This window comes from Homo sapiens, chromosome X, assembly GCF_000001405.40.
Source record: "Homo sapiens chromosome X, GRCh38.p14 Primary Assembly".
In the NCBI taxonomy this organism is placed as follows: Eukaryota; Metazoa; Chordata; class Mammalia; order Primates; family Hominidae; genus Homo; species Homo sapiens.
In genome coordinates, this window is record NC_000023.11 from 51,487,815 (window position 1) to 51,507,797 (window position 19,983).

At 41.5% G+C, this 19,983-nt stretch overlaps 1 protein-coding gene and 1 long non-coding RNA gene across 2 annotated transcripts, besides 1 other annotated feature; both read right to left on the bottom strand.

The window, feature by feature from the left end:
- Positions 1 to 2,196: 2,196 nt before the first annotated feature.
- NUDT11 (nudix hydrolase 11) lies at positions 2,197 to 8,778 on the bottom strand. Its single transcript, NM_018159.4, has 2 exons — positions 8,137 to 8,778; positions 2,197 to 3,935 (listed from the first exon to the last, which is right to left on the bottom strand). Coding segments are annotated over exons 1-2 (495 nt in total). The 5' UTR covers positions 8,631 to 8,778; the 3' UTR covers positions 2,197 to 3,934.
- Positions 8,849 to 8,968: a silencer, noted in NCBI's record as "silent region_20851". NCBI's record gives its function as "represses an Ori minimal core promoter by ATAC-STARR-seq in GM12878 lymphoblastoid cells {active_cell/tissue: GM12878}" and the evidence as "EXISTENCE:reporter gene assay evidence [ECO:0000049][PMID:35858748]".
- LINC01496 (long intergenic non-protein coding RNA 1496) lies at positions 12,095 to 19,627 on the bottom strand. The gene is made up of 5 exons (NR_110654.1): positions 19,449 to 19,627; positions 18,067 to 18,155; positions 17,918 to 17,979; positions 14,454 to 14,526; positions 12,095 to 12,234 (listed from the first exon to the last, which is right to left on the bottom strand). It is a non-coding gene; the product is annotated as a long intergenic non-protein coding RNA 1496 (long non-coding RNA).
- Between the last annotated feature and the right edge of the window lie 356 nt (positions 19,628 to 19,983).

Sequence of the window (19,983 nt, forward strand, 5' to 3'; positions counted from 1 at the left end):
ACTGAGCTAACTCCTTAAATGTCCACTAGGGTGCATCATGCCACCACTGGAACCATCTGCTAAGAATGACTTTGCAGTCTACCTACATAGTCTTCTTTTAACACCCAAGAAATGAGGTCTAAGTTTGAGTGAGTAGATAAAAGAAAAATAATTGTTACCAACTCTGCCCTGAGCCCTCTATCCCCTCAGCACTAGCCCCAAAGTCTAAACTCCCAGAGGTCTTGGCCTGCTTCTTCACATTGCTGTGAAGACTTACACAGGTCACAGTGTTAATGGATCTTCTTGGACCGTGGATGGGCTTTTTGGTTCTCCATGTTTACCATCCGGTATAAAGGAGGACCACTGAATTCATTATAAGCTGTTGTCATCATCTTCATCTAAAGAACATGAGCTTTTGAGTAAGATAAAACTGAATTTCCATTCCCAACCCACCACATTCCAGTCTTTTGATTCATTTCACTGATTTCAGGTTTATAGCCTTAATTCTGGGAATAGAAATTTGAGACATCTCAAGTGCTATTTGGAGACTGAGTTGAGGGAACAACTTTCCCCTCTCCTCAGGTATGGGAATATCAGTGTCCATAATTTGAAATTGCAGACTCTCAGTTTTTGGTAGTGGTAGGGGTTGGAGGATGGAGGGATTTCTCTAGGCCATTTGGAGTCAGCGTGGGTCAGAGGACTAGTCTAGCAACAAAACCTACAAAGTGTCTGACCCTTCAAGTATACACTGTGCAGTAGTTGTAAATTGTATTTTTTGTATTACATTTCCCTCACATTATCTGGTAATCTTCAGTAAAATCTCATTAAAAGTCACGGCCTAGTCTCTGATGGTGCTGTAAGAAATTAGGGAAGGGTGTGGGCACATTATGGGGTAAGAAGGTAGAAGAGGGAGAGCAGGATTCCCTTTTGAGTCCAGAGTTATTTACCACTTGGATACCACTGTGCCCAGAGGAGCAGCAACTTCATGAGGGTCAGAGCCTGCAGAGAGGCAGTGATATGGTGGCTTGCTGAGAAGCCAGAGAAGACAAAGACAACTTTCTGGAAAACAGGTAAACTAATAAAAGGCCTACTTTTAGCCAATACACTGCAATTGTATGATTTATTACAAGAGCACCCCCTCTGAATTGATGGCTTGTCCCCAGCCTCAGTGCTTGGTAAGTAAAAAGTCTGTGTGGGAATTAGGAAACAAAAGCAAACACAAAACAGGCCTATTCCACCCTGCACTAAGTCTTGGTGACTAGAGCTTGGTCTAAATTTCAGACCCAAGTTTTCTGCTATGCTTTTTATACTTATGCAAGGCAGAAGCAGTACAAATTCCATTATGGCCCTGCGCATTAGCCTAAAAAATTCTAAGGAATAGCGAGATGCCTGTATGGCATATACTTAACAATAAAAAGATCATGGATTATTTGGAAATATTCTGGATGAGGCACACCTGTGCTATCCTTGTTTGAATTATATATATTTGTAAATAGAAAGACTGGAAATTATATATATTTAAACTTGGTTATCTGTGTAGAGGAATCGTGTGATTTTTTTACATGTAATTATTTAAATTTTTATTTTTAATTTTTTTGAGTACATAGTAGGTATATATATGTATGGGGTATATGGGATATTGATAAAGGCATACAATGTGTAATAATCACATCAGGATAAAAGGTGCATCCATCACCACAAGCATTTATCCTGTGTTACATGCAATCCAATTATACTTTTAGTCATTTTTTAACGTACAATGAAATTATTGACCATAGTCACCCTGTTGTGCTATCAAATACTAGATCTTATTCATTTTTTATTTATTATTTTGGAATTTTAAAAATTTTCTGAAATTGAGATGAATTAATTTTGTAGTCAGAAAAAACAAATTCAGTGCCCTTTTTTAAAAAGGTAAATAGTAGAATGAGTGTCCCAACTGGAACCTAAACTTATGTCCACCACTAGGGTTTAAAGTTTTCCGGTAATGTGTGACATACTGAAGGGGATAAAGTCCTTTGGCATGTAGAACTGGGGGCTTTGCAAGGAAAAATTCACACTAACGGAAGAGCAGTCTGCAAACAAGTTTAGCTCAAGAACAAAAGCTAGGTTTTCGGAGAGGAGGAATCAATCTTTCTGGGCTGTGGATCTGTCTTCTGATCAGCCTTCTGCACTTAAGTCTAGGAGAGAGGGGGCCTACAAGTAAACTCTGAAGAATACTTTTTTCAATTTTTATTATGGAAAATTTCAAACATATACAAAAGTATAGAGAATAGTATAATGAACTCTCAAACATCCATCACACAGCTTCAGCAATTACCAATTTATGGCCAATCTTGTTTCATCTATGTACTCAATTACCCCACACTCAGATGATTTTGAAGCGAATACCAGTAACATATCATTTCACCTGTACATTTTTCAGTATACTTCTCTAAAAGATAATCATTTTTTAAAACAACATAACCACAGTACCATATCACATCTTAAAAAACAATAAATCAAGAAGTTATATTTTTATTTCAAATTATGTAACAACTGGGGACACAATCAATACATTTCACTGGTATCATGAGGAAGAGTGTCACACTAAAATGGAGTCCAAGCTTTTATCGATGCAATTGCTTTATAATATAAAAGAAAAAATCAAACAAACTAGCATATTAGAACCACTTTTGGTAATTTGTAAGGAGCTGAAGACTGCTGATATCACACATCCCATGGCAAACTCCGTAAGATTTCTTCTAAACATCTTTGTTATTTTCTTAAAATTGTTCTGGAGGCAGCTGATGCAAGTCCTCTTTTTTAAAAAAACCTTCACTTTGTGTTCCCCTCTAATAGCAGCCTCTTTCCTAAATGCCTTTTCTAAATGACAACAATTTTGCCCTCTCTCAGCCCTCTGCATTCTCATATGCAGAAACCAGGTAGGATGAGGAGCTAGCTGTGTGTACTGGAAAAGGGATGAAAACTACAGCCAAATGGATCAGTGAGAGAGGCAAAAGAAATCTAGACAAACTAAATGGCATAATTAAGTTTGGAAACTGCCTATGATATAGCCTGTTGGCTCTGGCATCAAATAATACAGTATGTTAAATCTGTAAAATGAGGAAACAGTGTTTCCTCAAAGAGATGTTAAGATGACATGTAAGAAGTGGTTAGGGCAGGCATTGCAAAAAAATGTCTTATATATCATTTTAAAATTTATTTTTATAAAAACTCACAACATTATTTTGCGTCCACTGTATTTATTTTTACAATTACCTTTATAGCAAGTGATAGTTTTTGAATAAAATTTAAGCAAATCATCAACAGTACAAAAACACTAGAGTTGTTACACGAAGGACTGATTCTACAAAACATTACCCTAGGTGATGGCATAATCTTAAAACTGTGCAGCTACTGTGTGGTATGACATAGAAATAGGAGTAATAATTCTTGTCCTCAAACATCTTACAACTGTCTTGAAATATTTCTGAAACACCTGATACACAAAAGCCACACACATGGTGCCTAGATAGCATATACTCTACTAGCACCAGATTGGAAGGGGAATGTTTTGCCACACGGTGATTACAAAATATTAATTGAATCAAAGAACCTTCAGTGATGCCAACCATATTTCAAGTAGTGTCTCAGATGCAGAATATGCAAAGAGTAAGGAAAAATAGTCTTTGCTCTCAAAGACATCATAGTCTAATGAAGGCAGACACATCAAAAAAGCACAACAAAAGGCTATAGGTGCTGAATTAAGAGTCTATTCACGTATAAGAGTACAACAACCAGAGCAAGAGTCAGTGGTATAGACAGGGAAGGAGTGTCCCAAGATGCAGGAAGAAACCAGATGAGCTGTCTTCTTGGGAACACAGAAGTGCTCACCTGTACTTGACAATTCCACTGATCACTGGGTTCACATCAATGTTTCTTTCAGCACAATACTGAACATCTTTGCTGTTCATCTGGAAAAACAAACCAACACACAATTAGCAGGCTTATGTTAATAATTCCTCCAACTGACAAATGTACCAAGAGCTTATTATGTACATCAATCACTTTGCATCAAGCACTTCACTTCCACAGAATTATCTAATGCAGATGCAATCAATGAGTCTGGATCAGCAACTGAGGGGTTATAAGCCAATGTATACCATGATGTAAAAAAGTCAGGAAAGCAGCGATATCAGAAGTTTTGTAAAAGAGGAGTGACCATTTAAGACATAAAATATCCTAAATTCCATGTTACAGACTCTAGACTCATGGAAATAATTCAGGCTGATTCCCACCCACGAAAGAGTTTTCAGTCCAGTGACCACATGGCCAAGAAAACAGATTAAGTACAATAAACTCTGCGAACCATGACACAGAAGAGGGTTTCTTAACCCAGGTGGTCAGGAAAGGCTTCTCATTGGAGATGTTTGTAAAGTGTCTATTTTTACTATCTCCAACAACAGATTTTTTTTTTAAACTGAGCGTCAGATAGTTAGATAACTTGGCTTAAGTTTCAGTGAGGAAGAACTGGAACTAGATCTGTCTGACTTCAAACCCCCAATGTAGTTTCTATCACATCATGCGCTCACTCTTTTTTTTTTTTTTTGAGACGTAGTCTCACTCTGTCGCCCAGGCTGGAGTGATCTTGGCTCACTGCAACCTCTGCCTCCTGGTTTCACGAGATTGTCCTGCTTCAACCTCCCAAATAGAAGGTATTACAGGCACGTGCCACCATGCCTGGCTGATTTTTGTAGTTTTACTTCATTAATAATTAGAAGTAGAGTTGGGGTTTCGCCATATTGGCCAGGCTGGTCTCCAACTCCTGACCTCAAGTGATCTGCCCACCTCGACCTCCCAAAGTACTGGGATTACAGGTGTGAGCCACCATGCCCAGCCCATGCTCTCTTATTCTTATAAAAGTGTTATGTTTTAGCACAGTCAGCATAGTAACTTCCACTTCTTATAGTGCTGTTTGCCCAAACATATTTAAAATCTGCTAAATACCATTAGTATTAATAGCTATCTTATCAAGAGACCACTACCAGGAAAATATTGTTTAAAGTCTTTCAGAGAGTACCTGGTGGCTCCCCCACAAGGGAATTCTAGAGGTGAAAGCTCTGCCAGGCAAATACACATTTTCTAACTGTAAACAAATTGGCATTCTTATACTAACCTTCTGAAATGAAATCACAGAAAGAATTTAAAACCTTTACATCAATTGTTGCAAATGAATCTATGCAAATAAAGCAACAAAATTATTTTCGAGTTTCTTCCCTTTAGTTTGTTTCTTTAAAGTGTAGTCAACAGATTTTGTATCTAAACACACACATACTTCTTGAGAAAAACTGTATATATTATAGACACAGCACCAATTGTTTCCAGTATATGCATCTATATTAATGTTTCCTCTTTATATATTCACAAGAATAAAACACTTGACCAGCTGAAAATGTAAGCTATTTATAAAACATGCAGAAAATAAATCTGATTCATGTCTGCAAACCTCAATTGTCTGTGTACTCTTTTTCCTTTCTTTATCAAGACAGGGCTGTAAAATTTAGGTGTACATTTTTCTGCTATCACAAAAGAAATAATGTACAAGTGAACTCTACTACTCTTAGAAGGAAAAAAATCTCAACTATACATCAAATTTTGGAGCACTGAAGTGGCAGAAATTTTCTATATACTACCTCTGTTCTAAAGAAATGTGGTGCCACTGTTCCGAAAACAAATCTTATAACACATTTAAGTATAGGTAAACAAAGTACAAATCTCAGTTTTTCAAAACATTTTCTGTACTAATGCTTTTAACTTGAAACTCTTGACTTAGTTTTGAAGAGAAAAAAAGAATCTCCTTGGCGCTCTTAACTATTCTGATGAGACTAAGTTCCAGAGAATATTTTACAAAAACTACTTAATTTAACAGTACGCCTTGAAAAGTAACACTACATATTCTAAGTGTTTCTGGAAAAAAAAAAAGAAAAGGAAAAACCACGACATATTTATAAGCTAACAATTCTTAAGAGAGGGTTACTATGAATGCTGTACATTAATTTTTACTTTGTCAGATACATAACTTAAGAACCAAATAAGATGATGCATAATTACTTCTAATGATAGAAAGTACGAGTTAAGTCTCCAAAGTAATCGTGACAGTGTTTCATGTGGAACACATTTCATCTACAAAAATATCCATAAAATACAATCTAGTATACCTCCTAGGTCAATATTAATGTAGAAACAAGAACCTTCTGTAATAATTAGGTTATTGAGGAAAATCTTAAGATCCATTTTAGACTGAATAATTAAGTCAAATTGTTTGGAATTTAAAATATGTGCTTCATGATGATGAAATAATCTGTACAACAAATAACCATGACATAAGTTTACCTGCGGAACAAATCTGCACTTGTACCCCTGGAATTAAAAGTTACAAAATATTTTTTAAAATATGTGGTTCAAATATATATATTCAACATGTATCACTTTGTTAAGAGAAAAATAGAAAAATACTCCGTATTTGATCAGACCATGTAATTCAGATAATAAAACTGTTGTAAGTTTTAAAAAGCCACAATTTCTAGTTTACTCTTTCCTTTGATAGCATTAGTGCAGAAAATATTTTGAGAAACAGATTTGTACTTTGTTTACCTATACTTAAATGTGTTGTTGTAATATTTCTTTTCAAAACAGTGGCACCATATTTCTTTAGAAAGTGCAACGGCACTCACTGTTTAGCAGCATAAAAAATATTATTTGTGAAATTACAATGTACTCCAAATAGAGAAAAATATTTCAGTGTTTTGAAGGGTAAAATACAAAAAGCACACAAGGGGGCAGCAAAAAAAAAAAACAGCAGAGACGGTTTCAAAAGGAACTTTTCTATGGTATTAAAAGACAGGAGAGCAAAATAATGAGTAGGAGGTTTTTGGATTACAGGCAACGTTAAGTTCTTGATGTAGATGCTGGTCACCTGCACCTAGAATAGGGTGTCCTGTGAGACAAAACAATTATTCTCTATCGTTAAGAGAGATTGTTCAGGAATCCTAATAGTTTGACAATTCTGTACCAGCTGAACATCACTAGAGCTAACTCAGTTGGGATGTAATCACCATAAAAGATTCCATTCCTGTGGTTACTGGGAGTCAGGGAGGTTTAAGCGGAATGTCACTACATTCAAATATGGGAGGGAGACCACTTTCAAAAACGAACTTAAATCCAGAGAACCATGGTTCTTCTATGGTATCCAGTAAGGGGCAATGGGAGTTGGAAGTTGAGTATGGGAAATCAAATTCTGTGAATACGGTTTTTCTGATAAGATGTGTTTGGCTAGCAGATCCTCCGCAGCATCTATTCAATAAGGTTAATCTACATGGGAAATAGCCATTTGAAGTCAGCAGTGAAAAATTACCACTTGTGAAAATTTTTTGAAAACCAAATGATCTACATATAGAAACAGAAAAAGAAATTTCTGAAAGGGGCAAATGAGATCCCATTTCAGAAGCTAAAGTGACTGTAGAGTGCAGAAAGAGCACAACATGTAGGATTTCCCAATTTTTAAAAAAATTCAAAACTGATCTTTTAAACCAACTCCCACCACAGAAGGCCTCCCTGACAACAAGGGCGAACGCTGTGAAGGAGAAAACTAAAGGGGAAAAAGAATACTAAAAGATGCCACACAACCAAGCTGGTCAGACTTTAAAGGCCTCCACTACCAAACAAACCACAAGGCTGGTATCAAAAATGCGCACGCACGCTCACCCACGAATATGTGTGAAATATAAAAGAACCAAAAACATCACAGGGCGCACAGGCAGACACACACTCCACACACAATCCCCACCCACCCCTCGCCCCCCACACACACCTCCCAAAAGCAGGGTGAACAGTTAAGGCACCTAAAACCCCAAGCCGCATAGGCTTCCCCGAAACATTTTACAGTGTAACCAAGAAGCGATTTTGAAAGCATCTGAAAAACGTGCAAACTGTCTTGAAAACAGGGCCTGGCAACTGAGACAGTTTGCAAGCGTGATTCAGAGGGTCTGCCAAGGAAACAAAAGAAGCCTCCCTCCTCCCCGTGAGACCGCACATGGCACGAGAGGTGCTCCAGGCGGGACGCATTTTAAGCGAGGCAGACAAATAGAAGTCTGCGCGAGCGCAAGCGGTACATACTAGGGATCGCTATCTGGCGAGGATGGGGCCATGGAGTTTCCATTGGTTGGGGAACCGCCCAGCTTTAGTTTCTCCAGATATTCGGCGTGCACGGGCTTGTGGCACTGGAGAACCTTGATGGCATCTTCGACTTTGAACCACTCTCGCTTCCTCCCAATGCTAACCGAATCTTCCCAATCCTCCAGCAGCTCCGTGACAGTCAGTACATACACGTACGTTCTGTGCTTGCGATCCTGGTTCTGTTCGAAGACGCCCAGGAGCCGGCCTAACTTCCCCTTGACTCCCGCTTCTTCGTACACCTCTCGGACCGCCGCACCGCCCGGCTCCTCCTCGGGCTCCATGCCCCCGCCCGGCACGATCCAGCGGTCCGGGTACCGGCTGCTACTCACTAACAGGACCTCGTCCTCGCGTTCGCTCCGGAAGCACAGGCACGCCGCCCGCTTCTTGAACCCCTCGGGGTCGTAGGTCCGCGTCTGGTTGGGTTTGCACTTCATCCTCGAGGCAGCCTCCTCGAGGCAGCCTCCTCTCGCCTCTCGCTGCTGTGTGGGCCGCCGCTGCCGCTGCCGCCGCCGGGGAACAGCCGAGGTGCTGGGAAGAGAAAGGGCCGAGGCGAGGGGCGGGGAAAGAGAGGCGCCTCCGTCTGCCCGCGAGCCCGGGGAGCGGAGGGAGAGATGAAGCTGGGCGGGGCGCAGGCGGAGGCGGGGGCAGCGAGGCGCGTCAGCCAGTCGGCCAGTCCGATGGGCGGCCGGCCGAACCCGGGCCCGCCGGAGTGGAGGAGGTGCCGCCGCCCGCGAGCCCGCGACTGTCCACAGACCCCACTCGCTTGTCGGGGGCGCGTCTCCCTCCCTCCGCCGCCGGGTAGGGTTTGAGCGAGGTGAGGCGCATTAACGGACGCGTCCGCGCTCCCGTTCACGTGCGCGTTCGCGGCGGAGGGCGAGGGGCGGGGGCGGGGGTCTCCTGGCTCCCGCAGCGCGCGACGCCTCGGGCCCACTGCGCAGGCGCCCCGCACCCCTGGGGGCCGAGAACGTCGTTCGCGCACTGTGAAATACACCGCATTGTGACTTTGGCCGACTGCCTCCACGTGTGCCTTTGACCCAAACGCGACTGTAGCGCGGCAGGACGTTTCTCCTCTCCCTCCCCACCGCGCTGCACGAAACCCACACGCAGCCGTTTTACACACGACAGAGGCAAGGGCATCGTCGTCATCATCCTCCCCCACGATGAACCATTCTGGCTTACTCATGGGACCTGGGCCCCGGTGTTGTCAAAACGACCCACGGGATTCTTGGCAGAATAGCCGCGCATCCTTGCTGAGTCACATGATGCAGTTTTATTTCTTCAACAGGTTCCCACCTTGCCGAGCATCCTGGCGCAGCTAGTAATTTAACGCTTTTCTTAAACCCCTGTTCACAACCTGCCTGACCCCTTTGTGTCTCAGTTTCCTCATGGGTACACTTCTCGCCTCCTTGTTGCAGCCATTTGCACTTCGATGCAGTACACCTTAAAGACCAGAGCACCACCCATCTAGTATTCCTGCGTTAAAGCCCAAGACATTCTCTCATTCTCCACACACTCCACCCTTGTCTTTCTCTTTGATAAGCACCACTTGGGGGTTGGGAAACCATTCACGTGGAGATCCCCTCCTATTCCACACTTTGATTTTTATTTATTTTTATTTATTTTATTTTTTATTTTTTTATGGCAAGAAACATTTATTATTATTATTATACTTTAAGTTTTAGGGTACATGTGCACAATGTGCAGGTTAGTTACATATGTATACATGTGCCATGCTGGTGCGCTGCACCCACTAACTCGTCATCTAGCATTAGGTATATCTCCCAATGCTATCCCTCATTAAAGACTCAAACGTTAGACCTAAAACCATAAAAACCCTAGAAGAAAACCTAGGCATTACCATTCAGGACATAGGCATGGGCAAGGACTTCATGTCTAAAACACCAAAAGCAATGGCAACAAAAGCCAAAATTGACAAATGGAATCTAATTCAACTAAAGAGCTTCTGCACAGCAAAAGAAACTACCATCAGAGTGAACAGGCAACCTACAAAATGGGAGAAAATTTTTGCAACCTACTCATCTGACAAAGGGCTAATATCCAGAATCTACAATGAACTCAAACAAACTTACAAGAAAAAAACAAACAACCCCATCAAAAAGTGGGCGAAGGACATGAACAGACACTTCTCAAAAGAAGACATTTATGCAGCCAAAAAACACATGAAAACGTGCTCACCATCACTGGCCATCAGAGAAATGCAAATCAAAACCACAATGAGGTACCATCTCACACCAGTTAGAATGGCAATCATTAAAAAGTCAGGAAACAACAGGTGCTGGAGAGGATGTGGAGAAATAGGAACACTTTTACACTGTTGGTGGGACTGGAAACTAGTTCAACCATTGTGGAAGTCAGTGTGGCGATTCCTCAGGGATCTAGAACTAGAAATACCATTTGACCCAGCCATCCCATTACTGGGTATATACCCAAAGGGCTATAAATCATGCTGCTATAAAGACACATGCACACGTATGTTTATTGCGGCACTATTCACAATAGCAAAGACTTGGAACCAACCCAAATGTCCAACAATGATAGACTGGATTAAGAAAATGTGGCCCATATACACCATGGAATACTATGCAGCCATAAAAAATGATGAATTCATGTCCTTTGTAGGGACATGGATGAAATTGGAAATCATCATTCTCAGTAAACTATCGCAAGAACAAAAAACCAAACACCGCATGTTCTCACTCGTAGGTGGGAATTGAATAATGAGAACACATGGACACAGGAAGGGGAACATCACACTCTGGGTACACTTTGATTTTTAAAAGACTCCCGCCGTGAGACTCCCGCAAGGTCACTTGCTGCTCTCTCACCTCTCTCTCTGGTCCTCCTGTCCTCTTGGCCAGGAAATGGCATCCCATCGCCAAAAATTTAACAACCTGGAGCCTTCTTTCTTCTTATTTATTCTTGGTGTTTCCTCATCTCATAGTAGCCGTAGAGAGAAGAACCCTGAGGTCCCCTGATTTTGGTTGCACCTTTGTCTCTCTCTTACTGGCACTCTGTTGGCATCAGCCAAGGGGGGATCATGAAAGCCTCCTTCGTTTGTTGATGAAATATTTCCTTTATCTAGGGGAAATGGACTCATATGGAAATGGAGAGTAGTCGTGAGACATACAGTCCAATTTTCAAATAACAGTTTAGTTCACTTTCCCAGGATCTGCTCAACTCCACTTATACCCAGAATCACAAATAAAAATGATCCTGTTCCCAAGCACAAGCAATATCTGCACTAACCTAGACCGTAATATGACAAAACGCTGCGGGTCATATATTAACAAAATTATAAAATACAGACATAAAAAGAGTGACCTCGATAGAGACACTACCGCTCCTGACCATATTTTAAAGATGGATGGACAATGGAAGAGCATTTGAAGGAATTCAACACTTGGGATTAAAAACAAACTAAGAGGCTGGGCGCCGTGGCTCACGCCTGTAATCCCAACACTTTCGGAGGCCAAGGCGGGCAGATCACCTGAGGTCGGGAGTTCCGGACCAGCCTGACCAACGTGGAGAAACCCAGTCTCTACTAAAAATACAAAGTTAGCCAGGCGTGGTGGCACATGCCTGTAATCCCAGCTACTCGGGAGGCTGAGGCAGGAGAATCGCTTGAACCCGGGAGGCGGAGGTTGCAGTGAGCCGAGATCGCGCCATTGCCCTCCAGCCTGGGTAACAGGAGCGAAACTCCATCTCAAAAAACAAACAAACAAACAAAAAACTAAGAAAGTATACTTAACAGGCAATATTTCTCAGGGTTCTCAAATTCACAAACACACAAATGATGTTAAACAACTAGGGAAAACTGCATTACAATCAGGAGCAAGACAAGTCTGCCTACTATCAAAAATGTTATTAAGTATTGTCTTACAATTTCTTTCTAGTGGAATGAGTTGTAAAGAGAAAAAAATCTGATATATGTTGGTAAAAACACAAAGTTGTCATTATTTGTAGATGATGTGGATATCTTCTTGGGAAACAGCTAAGAAAAAATGTAAAAATAAATCCCTGTAAATAAAAAAATAAAATATTATGATTTAAAATATCAGAAGCTTTCATGCATACCAGCAATAATCATGTAGGAATTTAAATGGGAAATGATGACATCCAACTTGGCACTATCAACCACCACAAAACAAATAAAATACCAAGGGATCCTAAAAAATATTTAGGACTTGGTAGTACAAAATGTTTGAACTTCTCAGAGCTTTGAAACATGATTTGAATAAATCACGAGTCACTCTAGCAAAGCTAGCAGACTGGTGTGGTGTCTGGGGGTGGGAGGGGCCAATCCAGGCTCCGGCCACAGGGCAGGGCTGCTTCACAATTGCCAGGTACTATCTCCTTTGTCTCACAAGAATGAGGTGCCATTTTCTAGTCTATTCCATCAGTATCAGTTCTACATCACACCGTGCCTCTGCAATAGGTCCCTTCTGGGGGCATACTTGTGGCAGGGAAGAGGAATAGGACATTATAACATGGAAAGAGGCACAGACCGAAACCCTACTGGGAAAGTCTGGATATGGAGACCCACAACTTAAAACAGGCTTAATACAATAGCAAGGCAATGTTTTAATTACCTTTTCCCCAAACTTTCACAGCTGACATAGTTTGGATACTTGTCCTCGCCCAAATCTCATGTTAAATTGTAATCCCCAATGGTGGAAGTGGGACCTGGTGGGAGATGTTTGGATCATGAGGGCGGATCCCTCATGGCTTGGTGCTGTCTGTGTGATAGTGAGTGCTCATAAGATCTGGTCACTTAAAAGTGCGTGGCATCTTCCCCTGTCTTGCTCATGCTTTCACCATGTGACGCACCTTCTCCCTCTCTGCCTTCTGCCACCATTGTAAGCTTCCTGAGGCCACTCCAGAAGCTGAGCAGCTGTTGGCACCATGCTTCCCGTAAAGCCTGCAGAACCATGAGCCAATTAAACCTCTTTTCTTTATAAATTACCCAGTCTCAGGTATTTCTTTATAACAATGCAAGAACAGCCTAATAACTTTATTATTCATCTATAATATTATAGTAATAGGTCAAGAAAAGCTAAGACTTGTAACAAGAGTAAAAATCCTTTTTAAGAGAACAGCATTCCACTGTCTGGTTTTGCATATTTAAGTATTTCTCCAATGATGAAGAGTGTAATTTAGGAATCACTGTAGTAGTAGACTGTTAAAGTGAAACTGCAATTTGTTCGTGGAAGCCTATATCTCCTTCCACATTGTTGTTGTATCTGGTCTTGGCCATGTAATTTGTGGTGTCCAGTGGGACAATAACAAATGTGAACAGAAGCCAGCAGAGAATTGAAAAGTGCTTTCACACTGGGGTGTCCCCTCTCATTTTGCGCTTAAAACATTGTGACAGCAATGTGAAGAAGGTGGGGCTAGCTGGATGATGAGATACCTGTGGCAGATTCTTCCCTTTCACCCCAGCTGACAGTGAACCCATTGCCCAACATATGGGTGAGGCCATCCTAGACCATTCGGCCCCTAGCAGAACTACTTAGGTCATAACAGGGCGCTAGCTGAAGATGCATAACTAAGCCTAGCCATGAACAGCAAAAAAAAAAAAAAAAAAAAAAAAACCACTCAGATGAGATCAGCTGAAATTACTGACCTGAAGAATTGTTAACAGAATAATTTACTGTTGTGTAAAGCATAAAATTTGGGGGTGCTTTGTTATGCATTAAAAACTAGCAGCTCCAACCATTGACACCATCCATCAAAATCAACCAAAAGCAATCAGAGAAAAAAAAGGTTGTTCGTTGTAGAAATGTAACGTCTACTTAAAGATGCTGGCATTTCACTTTCTCTGGAGTCAGAAAGAAAGGGATGAGGTTAAGATATCTAACATGTGTTGAGTACAGTGCCTGTGACAGTCCCTGTGTTATTCCCTGCATCCTATTTAACTGTTATCCCATTAACTCTTAGGGAGGGAGGCAGTTCATATGTCCATTTTATAGATGAGAAAATGAGGATTTAGAGTGGAGTTTGTATTTGAGCTCAAGGCTTCGTGTCTCCATACCCTGCACACTCACAACATCAACATGTCTTATAAGAAGGATTATTATTATCCACAGCTATGGTTTGTTATGGACTTCATTGATAACATTCAGCATTGACCTATTGGGTAAGGTATTCAGTAGCTAAGAGTCACTGACTCCAGTGAAAGGTATCTTCCATCATGATGTTCTTCTTCTGGACAATAAGTGAAAAGAGCATGTGAGTACCTCTCTCACTCCCAGCAAATAATATTTGTGTCGCCTCCACATGTTACTTTACGATTTGAAGCTTTGATTTCCCCTGCAAGATAAAATGCAATGAAGTGATACAGAAAAGAAGACATTCTATGCTGTCATCACACTAGGCCATGATGTTGATTTATGGATGGTCTGCTTTCTTACATGCACTTAATATTTTTGTATAAACAAACCTGAAAGGTATCAAAATCCCCTTTAACAGATTAACAGGCTGAGATGGGTTAAAGTGAGCAAGCCGGGAAGTGGTGGAGCTGGGATCCACACCCTGGTCTGTCTTGAGTCCAAGGGTAATCGTCTTGCATTCACTATGGCATGTTTCCCTTACGTTAAGAGTTGCTGACATAGACAGTGCATGTCATTCCTTTTGGTGTGGCCTTCCTCCTTTCTAGCTTTTTTCTGCCTGGAAAATCCAGGCACGCAAGATAATGGAGCTTCCATGTAAATTTCCAGAATCCCTAGAATAAAAGCGGAGAGGATCTACCCTGAAACCAACAAGTCTAGGATACACATTTCTGCCTTTTTTTCAGAATTAGGAAGGGGCAGGCAGATGGGCAATTGACAGGAATAGTAGAAGCATCCTCAGGGAAGTTGGGTGCTTTACTTAGTGAGAAAGCCATGCCGGCTGACATTTCTAACTGAGTCTTAAGTGGAGTACAGTCCTAAGAGAGGAGCTCTCCAGAAACAGCTATTACCTGGGGTCAGGAATGTTAAAGACCTTCTCAGAGGTTGACTCTACTCACAGCTGGACCCAGCTATCAGGAAAGGGACTGCAACATACCTGAGAAGCTTTCAGAATACTTAAAGGATGCAGAGCCAGAGGAAGTGATTTTGGTAGTAGTCCATGAGAAAAAAATATGGTGTTTTAAAATGCAAATGAACTAAAATTTAAATCCTGCTCTCTCAGTAGCTATGCAGCCTTAGGCGAGTTAATATCTTTGACCTTAATATTTCTCAGGCGTAAAGGGGGATAATAGGACTACCTACTCAGAACCTCACCTCTCCCAAGAAAGGTTTCCTGACCATGTGCTGGCCCAACCTTTACACTGGGATTAAGGTACTCCCCTCTGTTTTTCCAGGCTTCCTTGACTTTAATTCTGTCATAGCTCTAATTTAGGAGTTCTGTAATGATCTGTCTGCAAGCTCGTGAGGAACTGTAGGACTAGGAACCAGCCTGAAACATGTCTGTTCCCCTCTGAGTCAACACAGTGCCTGGGATCTGTTGTCCAATAGGGATTTAAAACATATTGATTGAATGAGAAATGATGACAGGATCTACATGGATCACAAAGGATAGTTGTTATTTTACCTGTTAACTATTTAATAGTGATATTAAATGAAATATGAATGAACCTAGGACCAGGGAAGGTGGGGTAAGTTGTGTCTTTCACATCAACCTTCGTATGTTCCCTAATGTTTTCTTCCTTCATGTACCTAGGACACTCTTGTTTAAATACAAAGGTGGTTTTATTTTGGGTCTATACTAGCTAGTTCCCTAGAAAGGTCTTAAATACAAAATGAATGGAATACAAAATAACCTCCCTTATTGTTTTGTTTGTTTCCTGGACAAATGACGGGATGCATACAGAACTGCTACTTTTATGATTTTGTGAGTAATGGTATAGATGTGCACAGGTCATGGATGTGGCCCCAGTGATCCATGGAATTGTGAAGTCCAGGCGAGTCCTGCCTCTCTCGTAATGATGCAGCATGCCTTGATTTCTCCCACTTCTTTGCTCACTACCTGATCCTGTCTCACTGATGTCACCTTCCTTTTCCCTTTACCCTACCTTGCAGAGACTTCTAATTCAGAAACCAAACCCTTTCTAGTGGCCCTGTGTTTATGCATCAGAGTAAAATGTTAAATGCTTCCAAAACCTATGAGGCCCTACAACATCTGGCCCATTTCCTCTTTGACTTTGTCCCTACCAGTCCCCATGAGCCACACATCTCTAGCAGACCTGGACTCTGCAGCTTCTGGGTTGTGTCAGGCAGGCTCCTTCCCTCCTCAGGGCCTTTGCTCTAGCCATTCCCTCTGTTTGGAATGCTCCTCTGCCATGTCTACAGAGATAACCTCCTCACCCACCTTGAGGCCTTGATCACTTCTCACCTTCTGGATGAGGCCTACCAAGGCCACCTTATGATAGATTGTTAAACCCACTCTTCCTTGCCACCCTGTTGCTGATACTTCTGATCCCCTTTTCCTTGGCCGAAGTTTCCTTTCTGTTATAGCATTTTGCATCTAACAGACTATGTAATTACTTAGTGATGTTTATTGCGGTTCTCTCTCTTAGCCGATGATGGCTTCTGCTAGAGTATTAGCTCCTGATGGTAGGGATCTTTGTATCTTGCAAGCAGCCCAGATCTCTGCTGAGCATACACTGGAGTCACTCAGAAAATATCTATGGATGTAATGAATGTGTTTGTGTCCTGTGCTAGATGGGAGACTTGTGAGGGAAAGGGCCATGTTTTGTTGGTCTTTGTGAACCCACCATCCACACTCTCTGATACAACCAAAAGGGCTATAGTGAATAGTGTTTGAATTAATTAATCTTTTGAAAATGACACTGATAGGGAAAACATTCTCTTTGCAATCTCCAGCTATTCCAGTAGCTGCCATTTGTTTCTGCACCATGTAGGTACCAGATGCCATAGAAACACAGCTGGGCAGCCGTGAGATACCTGAGGGCCAGAAGTCTGATTCATTTTCCATGGCCTCTTCACAGGGTAGCACAGTTCCTACTACAGAGCATGACTTGAGGTGCTGTTTTCAGATCTCAGTCATTCATCACCTAAATGGTTTTGGTTTTATCTGGGCAGGACTTGTACTATGATTTACATATTGTATTTTATTTTCATAAGACAGTGGCTTTCAGAAAGAAACATGATTATATAATTAAATGCTATGAAAGCAGAACGATGTTATGAAAAAGTTGAAAATAAAGTGGAAGCTATTGTTGTGTAGTAGGACACGTAACTATGGATGGGCTGCACTAGGCACTGCATGTACCTTTTTCATTTAACCCTAATAAAAGCCCTTCAAAGGCAATGTTGTCATTCCCATTTTCACAAGGGAGAAGATTGAGATTTAAGGCCTTATGTAACTTGGCCAGTATCTGACAGCTAGGAGGTATCTGAATGAGGTGGAATCTTCCAGGCTCATTGATGAGAACACCCCACAAAGATGGCAGTATAGGCAGAGCCCCACCACTTAACTTGCCCCTGGAGTTCTCTCTGCTCCCCTCCCCGTTTCTCATGCACACATCTCTGCAACATTTTCCTCCCACCTCCTAACACTTTCAGAAGCTCCTCATCCTAGAAGTTGTTCTCCTGCTCCTTCGGTCAAGTGCTGGAAATTTCAACACTAATTTCTGCAGAGGCAGAAGAATGGAGTTTGTTTCAAGTCCTTGTGAAGGGATAAAATGATTGGTACTTACAGCTGCTTCAAGGTCCTGTTGAAGCTGGATCTGGAGGAGGATCTTTTATGCACAGCTAGTCCCTGCGTGAGAGAATTCCGGTCTTGGAAGGATGCCTTCCCCTCCACAAAGACATCAGGCTAGCCCACAAGGGAAGATAGTTTACTTACCAATAACACTGTGTACCCACAGGCTCAGGCCACTTTTGTCAGAAGCAGAACAGGCTTTCCAAGGTCACCACGCTGTACTAAAACTTCACCTAATCATTAGAGAAAGACAACATGGCACATACACGTGATGTTTGGTATCAAAATTGTGATCAGGAAGATGGCTGCATTCCCTGTTCCATAGTAAAACATAATATACCACCAATGAAATCAGCCAGTTCTGGAGAGATTACCACATGATAGAGTGTTTCTGACCATGGGCTCTGGGCCAGACATTCTCTGGGAGTGCAAGATGGGAAAAAATATTTCCTTTTTTCAATCTTTTCCAGGTTATCTATTTCAAGGCAAGTTTGAAAATCAATAGTTCTGTTAGCAGTTTTCCTACACTACAATAGTATATCCTACAAGTGAAAGCTATCACATTCTTAGATTCTTTCGCTTTAGCTTTGATCAATTAGCTTTTACTACCAGCCTACATCTCAGAAGGAAGCATCTTTGATTTTTGTGTCAGATGAACTTCTCTTTGTGTAGGATTCACAAAATTCTAATTAAGAAATTATATTGGGGGAATGCGGTTTCTCTTAACTACAATATCAGAATATATAATAATTGCTGTTTCAGGGCCCACCATGTATGAGGTGCTTGACATATCTTACTGATAGTTTTCTTAAAATCCCTGTGACATAAGTTTCTTTCTTCCAGTTTCACAGATGAGGAAATTTAGGCTCAGAGGGGTAGATTACTTGTCCCTGTTCACATGGCTAGGAAGTGCAGAGCTGGGATTTAAGAGGCATGCATCACAATCCATTGCCTACACTGGTCAGCAGTATCCCCACATTTTACACAGTCTTGGAAAGAAATCCCTGTGTCTCTGAAAGCCACTAATATAAATTTTAAAATTTCATACTGCTGTTACGTCATCCCTCTATTTTAGAGGTTGACTCATGACAAATGCTATTTTTCTTTTCCTGTGAAATATTTAGTTTACAACATTATATTTGAGGGTGGCAGATTTGAAAAGGTATATATATGAATAAGTTAAGTAATGTTGATTTACCCCTTTTTGTGTGCTGAAAAGTATGCTATTCACTGTGTAGAGGCCCATGGACAAATGAATCTGCTTTCTAGTCCTGCGACACCTACCAGCTTCTAGAAGACTTTGCATGGCTCTTGATACACAAAAGCCACTTTCCTATGTGGAAAGCAACCAGTGTACTGCCTCCAATTTGGAAGTGGGTGTTTTTGCTATCAGTGTTTCAGTATGAAATGTATTCATTCAGTAAACCTTCTGCAATGCCTATATGTTTATGTAGTGTAACTGATTGATAGAGCATATGTAAAGACCAAGTAAAAACTGGTTCTTAGCCAGGCGCCGTGGCTCATGCCTGTAATCCCAGCACTTTGGGAGGCCGAGGTGGGCAGATCACAATGTCAGAAGTTCGAGACCAGCCTGGCCAACATGGTGAAACCCCGTCTCTACCAAAAATACAAAATACAAAAATTGGCCAGCTGTGGTGGCGAGTGCCTATAGTCCCAGCTACTGGGGAGGCTGAGGCAGGAGAATTGCTTGAAACTGGAAAGTGGAGGTTGCAGGAGCCGAGATCATGCTACTGCACTCCAGCCTGGGCAACAAGAGCTAAACTCCATCTCAAAAAAAAAAATTGGTTCTTATTCATAACCAACTCCTAGGAAAACAAAACAAACAAAAAGAATGTAAATTCTTAGCTATACTCTGCACAGGGCGTATTTCCAGTGAAAGAGGGGAAAAGAGGGAGAGGAGATAAAAAATTTGATGGAGCAAGAGTAGAGGAAATAGGAGCAGGACTCACATCTGGAGGAATGAATCCTTGTGACTATGAACATGCATGTCTGTGCTTGAAAATGCTGTTATTTGTGAGTTCAGAGGCGTGATTTCATATT